We start from the raw sequence: 8,449 nt of genomic DNA, 5'->3' as shown, positions 1-8,449 counted from the left end.
CATTTTGGTTCATTTTCAAAGGGAAGTTAAATTGCTGGAGAACCTAAAGTATTATCCAGAAGTTAAGATCACAGTAATTTTAGAAATGAAGAAGGGAGGAGTATCCAAAGGGGCTGAAATAGGGAATCATTTTTAGCCTCATAATTCGGTCCATTCATCTGAAACCAAGTGAAATTTATACTCTGGGCTTCATCTGTAGAGCACCTTTCTCTTGAGGAACAGCCCAAGAAATTTCATGTGTAAGCCCCTTTAAGGGAGACATTGAAATCAACAGAAGGAACTAGTGTGCTGCATATATTCAAATCACACCAGGATCGCACATTTAAATTGCACTTGGGACGCTTCATGCTCTGCCAGCCAGAAGATCTCTTGTTCCATAAGGCATTCTCATTCAAATGGTTTACAAGTCCACATTCTCACTGGTCACAGCCTGTGTTATAAAGAAACATGGCCAGTCTTTAAAGGACTAGAAGGGCAAGAAGAGCCAGAGTCACTTTGGTATTCTTGAGAGATCATTTAAATCGATAAGGTTTGATGAACAAAAGTGCCTCAAGTGAAAATCCACATGTTTTCAGGAAAGGAAGACAGTGTCACAGCTATGAGAAAGCAATAGTTAAAAGCCAATGTGCATTGAGGTGCAGCCCTCAGAGTTGCTGGGTGTTGTGGGGTCAAAAAGTGAAATCAACCAGGCAGCCAGTATCTGGGTATTTGTTTGGAGTGTTAGATATTAAGATTACTGAATCTGTACCTAAATATAACAATTATAGTTTAGGCTTTTTGCTATGGAGTGGTGTGTATGCACAAGTGTTTCTTGCCATTTTTGAGTTTTGGACACTTGGAAGATGAATGAAACCACTCCATAGAGGGGGGGAAAAGGATATATGTATGAAACGTCACATTCAACTTTTTTATTTTTTTTAAGAGACAGGTTCTCCATCTGTCAACCAGGCTGAAGTGCAGTGGCTACAATCTTACCAATGCAGCTTCAGCCTCCTGGGCTCAATGATCCTCCTGTCTCAGCCTCCTGAGTAGCTGGGACTACAAGCATGTGCCACCATGCCCAGCGAATTTTTTTAAATTTTTCCTATAGACAGGGTCTTGCTCTTCTGCCTGAGCTAGTCTTGAACTCCTGAACTCCAGTGACCCTCCCAACTTGGCCTCCCAAAGTGCTGGGATTATAGGTATGAGCCACGGTGCCTGGCCTTGACAAATCTCTCTAGCATCTAGGCATGGATACTTGTTCATGGGTCAAGTTAAGAAAATCTGGTGTAAGATACCAAAATCTTCAATACTTGGGAAAGGAAAAAAACAATCCTATTTACCTTGATTGAAATGGTTGAGCCTAACCAGAACTGGGCTGGTGTCTGGCTTTTAAAGAAAGACCCTTTGTGTAACAGAAAATAATACTGTTCCTATTAACATCTGTTACACTATATTTAGAAGTCAAATGGCTTTAGCATTGGCATGAACATTCTTCTAAGAGGAAGCTGAAACTTGCCAAGTGCAAAGTGAAAATGCTCATGCAGAATCAGACTTGCTGTTTTGAGGTTTTTGACCATAACCAGCCCACGAGTGAGGAACTCTTTTGTTCTTGAGCAAAAAATGACAAAATTTTGGAGAATAGGAAAACTTGATTTTTGTAAGGAATTATTTTATTTTATATATCTTTATTTGTGAGTCTCAGTGAGACCATTTCAAAGATGGGCAAATGCAGGCAAAGTGATGTGCTCAAGTTCTTGGGGCTAAAACAAGTAGCCAGTATCCTGATTTTGAGCCCAGGGTCACTGCACTGACCCACCTTTTGAGCAGCCACTTGGCTTCCCACCTTTAATATTAGGCCTCCCCCACCAGCTGCCCACAGTCTTGTTTTTTGTTTGTTTTGCTTTTATTTTTTTTCTACTGCCTTTTCATGAATCTTTTACAGGAGAGTTTTTAAACTTCCCTGCAGTTCTCTTTTTCAACCTATTCTACAAATTGTTGGGATATAACTAGATGTGAGAATATTCACGCAGCAAGAGTCTGCTAGCCAAACTGAAAATTTTCACTCTGGCCCACCCACTTTTTTAAAAATAACCTTTGTCTTTTGGAATAATTTTAGATTTATAGAATAGTTGCAAAAATAATACATAACATTTCCATGTACCCTTCACCCAGTTTCCCCTAAAGGTAAAACATTGCATAACCATGGTACATTTGTCAAAACTAAGACATTAGCAGTGGTATTTTATTCGAATTTCACCAGTTTATCCACTAATATCCTTTTTTTCTGTTCTGAAATCCAGTTCAGGAGCCCACACTGCCATGAGTCTGGCCCACTTAGATTTTAAGTGCTAAATGGGCAGCACAATTCGAGTCTGCACAGTATCCCGTGATCTCAGTATCCCGTGATCTCAGGGTCTTATCAAATCACATCCACACACCACCCAAAGGAACTATAGTAGAAAATCAATTGACTTTCCTTTTACAGATCCTCCCATTTATTACCATCTCTCAAAAATCCATCGCTCTTTGATAAAAGGTATTGCAGCAGTAAGGAGAAGACAGGAATGGAAAAGGACCAAGAGGAGACCCAACAGCACCCATAACCTGAAAAATTTAAATAATCACATCATCCATTTATCAATTGACTTATTATCGAGTGCTGATCAAGTCAAAAGCACTGGGGGAGTTAAAAGGCAACAATCCCTACCTGTAAGTCCGGTTGGAAGGCAATAGATGCATCTATATGACCAACACAATAATTACCTGAAGGTAGGAACAAACCATGCTGGGGAGTGGTGGAGAGAGACACTGCAGCTGCTTCCGGAAAAGATGGGATATTTGTAAAAGTGACCAGGTGTGAGGAGTATTTCGGCAGGCAGAGAAGATAATGGACCTAAAACAATGGCAAGCCTTTCTGCACTGTAAAGAAGTAGACTTGTAGGAAGACAATTATGGTAGCTTAAATGATGATTATGCATTTTTTCTCATTTGCATCACTTTCCCATCACCCAAGCAACAATACCTGGAAACCCTTGGCTGATCTTTGGGGTTTACAGAGTTATTCAAAGCTCACGTGTACAGGATGGAAATATCTGCATCCTAGCTGAGCACAGTTGCTCACACCTGTAATCCCAGCACTTTCAGAAGCCAAGGTGGGAGATCACTTGAGGCCCAGGAGTTCAAGACCAGCCTGGGCAACAAAGTGAGACCCCTGTCTCTAAAAAAAAAAAAAAAAAAAAAAAAAAAAAATAGCCAGGTGTGTTGGCCTGTGTTTGTGGTCCCAGCTACTCAAGAGGTTAAGACAGGAAGATAGCTTGAGCCCAGGAGGTTGAGGCAGCAATGAGCCATGATCACGCCACTGCACTCTAGGCTGGGCGACAGAGTGAGACCCTGTTTCAAAAATTTTAAAAAGGAAAGAAAAGAAATATCCACATGGTATTATTGATTATTCTGAGGATGTATAGGAAAATCTAGGCCAAACCATACATTTTAAAGGGAAGGCAAGTGAGGCCTTGAGAACTTAGCTGGATCTGCACAGTTCCCTCAAGCTCATGCCCAAGCCCTAAAAGGAACTCTGGTTGCCTGCCTCCCTATCCGAGAACCCTTTGCAACATACCATTATGTCAATAAAATGATACTTTAGCCCTCCAGAGGTCTACAACCCAAGGGTATGTGTGAGCAACTAAAACAGCAAATGGAAGTGACGGGGGCTATAGAGGAACAATGAAGAACTGGGCAGGGAGTAATTGATACTAGGAAGATTGCTGGGGTATCCTACAGAGCATGATAGCCAGGATGAGGGAGAGGTTTCAATATGGAAATTTCCATGAAGGAGGGGAGAAGCTGGCTGGTATGAATAAGAGGTGGGAGGCCAAGCGCGGTGGCTCACGCCTGTAATCCCAGCACTTTGGGAGGGCGAGGTAGGCAGATCACCTGAGGTCAGGAGTTTGAGACCAGCCTGGTTAACATGGCGAAACCCCATCTCTACAAAAAATGCAAACATTATTCAAGCGTGGTGGCTGTGCCCCTAATCCCAGCTACTCAGGAGGCTGAAGCAGGAGAATCTCTTGAACCCAGGAGGCAGAGGTTGTGGTGAGCGGAGATCGTGCCACTGCACTCCAGCCTGGGTGACAGAGTGAGACTCCATCTCAAAAAGAAAGACAAAAGAAAGAGGTCGTGAAATGTGGAGAGCACTTACAAGAGACAGGGATAGGCCTTTGAGTTAGGCAGGTGTGAAGAGTGGATCTACAGAGTGTGGTAAGGAAAGGATGCCTGGACAAAAACATCCGGTGGGAGGAGGCAATGCCATTTCCTTAATTTTTACCAACCTTTGTTCCAAAAGACATTTAAAATCACACTGATAATTATTAACAGCAGTAAAGCAATAGACGCTTTCCTGTATTTTTCATGTCACAGGTATAAGCTTATACTCACACAGGGCTTTGACCATCTAATACCATACAAGATATATGCTTTTGAACAAGCTACTCCACAGACCCATTTCCTTCAGCTGTGAAATGTGGATAATAGCACCTACATCTTGGAGTAAATATTATAAGACCTGCCTTGTGCTCCATCCATGTTGACACAGAGAACGTGTCAGTGCATCACATAGAGATTGTATGATGTGTGAATATTTACACATGCATGCCCTAATCACGGGACTGCAGCAATGACCTCTATTTGCAATGTCTTCCCTGGCCCCCACCCCCACTCCCAATTCTGTCCTCAAAGGTGGGAAGTCATCTGGATCAAGTTGTGCATCTTCCCAGATTCTACTATGATTTCCCATTTTCTCCTACATTTAATGAAACTCCCACCTACCTAGTGTTAGAAAAATCTGAAAACAGAAGGAGCTCACTTATAAGGAACATGTTCAAGCAATCTCAACCTCATGAAAGCTCTGTTTCCACAATGATGGCACTTCCACAGACATTATTCCATCAAGCCTCGCTGCAAATCTAAGCAATCAGTATTATCCTCCACACCTTAGAGAGAGACCATGCCAGCCTCTGAGGGCTGTGGTCAGTGCAGGTGACCAGGGCAAAGTAACTCAGAGGCAAATTCAGGTCTGTTGATGTTAAAGCCAGTAGACATTTCATGATCCCAAAGTTGCTGGTGTTGTCTGGAGTTTAGAGGGTGGATTCACTGGCTTGGATTAAAATATGTCTAATGCCCTTTCTCATCCAGAATATGGCTCCCCTTGTGTGACTGCAGGCCTTCCACCTCCCTCTCTGATGATGTTCTTCCTCTGCAATGCAGCTTCTGCAGGCTTCTTTCCAATCAGATTATCAAGCACCCCATTAGCCTGTCTCTCCCAGAACCTTCACACATACCAGGGTTTTCCTCTTTCTCTTTAATTCAAACACATCTTTTCCATCATCTGGATTCTGCCTATGATCGTCCCATCAACTCAGAGAAACAAAAACAAGAAACCAGTGCAATAACGTCCTGGGACCTTAGATCATGGATCAAAACCACTGTAGTGGGCACCGGGAAGAAGGCAAACTTGTTACTAAAAGAAACTTAAATCTCTTGCAGCTATAAAACATGCAAACAGCTTAATGAAAAGAGGAACCACTGGAATCTCTGAATGCTTATTTTTGATCGTAACATGCATTTAAAAATGTCCATCTCAATGAGCTAAATCATAAAAAATAAGCCAGGTATGGTGGTGCATGCTTGTAGTCCCAGCTAGGTGGGGACACCTGCTGAGGTGGGAGGATCGCTTAAGCCCAGAAGTTCAAATCCAGCCTGGGCAACATAATGAGACCCCCATCTCTAAAAAAGTACAATAATAAAAGATAACATTTTTCCTCTTCTAAACCCAGTTGCTATATTGTTTTATCTAACCACATAATCTTATTGGCTGGGTATTATTTTTATTCCCATACCACCTATGAAAAAGTTGAGGCTTAGAGGGATTGTTAGGTAAATGGCAGGGAAGGATAAGAGTATAGTTTAAGCCATCTGACTCCTGATCCTGAAATCATTAAATGGGCCCAAAATTTTGCTGCATGAGATGAATGCTAGAATTCATAAGCAACTTATTTTTCACAACAGTTCAATGAGGTTTCCAGAGAAACACAAGACTCAGAAACATTAGATCAGGTACTAAGATCATGCTTCCAATAAGTGATCAAGATGAGATTTCAGGCTGGGTGCAGTGGTTCATGTCTGTAATCCCAGCACTTTGGCAGGCTGAGGTGGGTGGATCATTTGAGGTCAGGAGTTTGAGACCAGACTGGCCAACATGGCGAAACCCCATCTCTACCAAAAATACAAAAATTAGCCAGGCATGGTGATGTGTGCCTGTAGTCCCAGCTAATCGGGAGGCTGAGGAAGGAGAATCACTTGAACCCGGGAGGCCGAGGTTGCAGTGAGCCGAGATTGCACCACTGCACTCCAGCCTCGGCAACAAGAACAAAACTCCATCTCAAAAAAAAAAAAAAAAAAAAAAAAAAAAAAAAAAGCGGGAGAGAGATTTCAATGCAGAGCCATTTAATACCAAAATCTTTCTAAAGGAAATAATAAAGCAAAGGTAAATACAAGAGCTCAGGCATCACAGGCCCTGGCCCACAGAGGGCATCTCCTTCCTGAAAAGCTCATGAGGAGTTAATCCCCGAAGCACCCAATAGGCAGAAACGAATTAATGAAGATGTGTTCATTTATCCTCTCTGCCAGCACCTAACACGATGTGGAAGTTTCTCTTTCTGAATTCCTGGAGGCCACACAGCACTTGGCATAGCCAGGAGGAAAAGCAGATTCTCTTCCCAACTTGCCCAGGGAACTTTCCAGGAGAAATATTTCATTTGGTGCCCCCATTAGCATCGTCTTCAGCAAGGTCACCGCAGCTTGTAAACAGACACATCAAATGTGCATTCATTCCACAAACCTCTGCTTAGCACCTGCGGAGGAAGGGCTGGGTGGACAAAGGTGATCAGGATCTAACCCTCCCTTAAGCAGCTGACAGTCTTGGGAGAAGACACAGTCTTAGGGTGGGAGGAACACAGTCTTGCGGCGAGAGGGCTGGGATGGGAAAGAATTGGAATGTGCTCTAGTGGAGAGGAGCCCCAGGTGCTTGGAGAGTACTGAAGCGCAACACCAGTGGAGTTAGGGACTGGGGAAGAAGCAGAGATGTCAGAGGAGATTTCACTCTGAAAACAGCAATTGAAATTGAAATTAATCTTAGGGGAAAAGAATGAAATTGCCATACATGAAAAAGTCAAGGAAAAAATAAAAAATAAAGTGTGACACTGACTCCTCCACTCTTGGAACACCAAGGAATTCCAAATGGCCTAACAATAGGGAGCCTGGTGTCAATGGAAGGAGAAATGGGAGGAGGAGGGATCCTCATACCAGTAAGGAGTCTGGACTGTCCTTCGGGCACTGGGAGCTGCTGAAGAGTTTAAGCAGAGTAGTGATCTGATGCGATTTGCATTTTAGAAGCTCCCTCTCCCCCTAGGTGAGCTGGGCTCAGTGGGGAGGCTGATGGCAGGGCATCCACACCATCAAGGTCAGAGACAAGAGCTGACCTGGTTCAGTCTATCCTGCTCTGTAGCTCATGATTGTGGATTCCAGCTGTCCTTGCTCTGACCTGTGGACTAGAGGCTTCAGGTTCAAAGACAGTAAACCTTACAGAGAATGGCTTAACCAGCTGCCCTGAGAGTGCCCAGGGGAAGCTGAATATTAATGAGGAATTTTCTCAATTGGTTCTGAGTTTTCTGGAATCAATTATCTGACCTCATTAGATGCAAAGGCGTTAATGATCCTGTTTCCAGTGGATCATATCTGATGACATGTAATGGTGAAACAGTTATGCAAATTATTCCTTGTAGATAGCTGGTAACTAAATGCTGATGAAAGTCAAGATTCTGGTGGACTAAGTATTAATAGTTCACAGCATAAAACATTGTAATCAAAATAAGAAATATAATGGGGTTGGTTAACTGTTTCTAACTGTGCTAGAGAACTTGGAGAAAAGAAAAAGATGAGCTCAGGGCTTTAAATTTACAGTTCAATGTCTGTATAAGGGATCTGAAAGCTCCTCTGCCTCCCTGAAAGAAACCTTTTCTCCTGCAGCATTTCATCTGAAAACCAGAAGAAAGCCTAACCCTACAGGTAACTGAATTGCAAAGCAAATCAAATTTCCAGCCTCTAGGAAGGAGTCTCTTTTGTTAAAGTCAGGGCATGCATGATTGGGAAGAAATGGGATTTTGAAAATTGGGATGGGGACATTCTGATGGAGCTAGATGCATGGAACTCCTGAACTCCCTTAAATGTTCCCAACAAGCTTACTTGGCAGTAGAAGCAGTGCTTCCACTCCTGCCTTGGGGTTAGTGTTTTCTTGCTTGAAGAACTTATAATGACCTACTTAAGAAAGTTGCCTTGCAAGGCCCTGCTGATCTCAGAACCTGCCCCCGCCATCCTTTTTTGCTTTTAGAGTTATTTTAAGCAAGCTCAAGCC

The 8,449-nt window shown here is 42.9% G+C and overlaps 1 annotated feature.

The window, feature by feature from the left end:
* Positions 7,185-7,771: an enhancer, noted in NCBI's record as "NANOG hESC enhancer chr18:52881645-52882231 (GRCh37/hg19 assembly coordinates)". NCBI's record gives its function as "activates a minimal SCP1, AML or CMV promoter by ChIP-STARR-seq in naive H9 embryonic stem cells {active_cell/tissue: H9 hESC(naive)}" and the evidence as "EXISTENCE:reporter gene assay evidence [ECO:0000049][PMID:30033119]".

Source organism: Homo sapiens, chromosome 18 (assembly GCF_000001405.40).
Source record: "Homo sapiens chromosome 18, GRCh38.p14 Primary Assembly".
NCBI lineage: Eukaryota > Metazoa > Chordata > Mammalia > Primates > Hominidae > Homo > Homo sapiens.
Note: the sequence above shows the minus strand (reverse complement) of the source record. Positions and strands in the feature narration are given on the sequence as shown.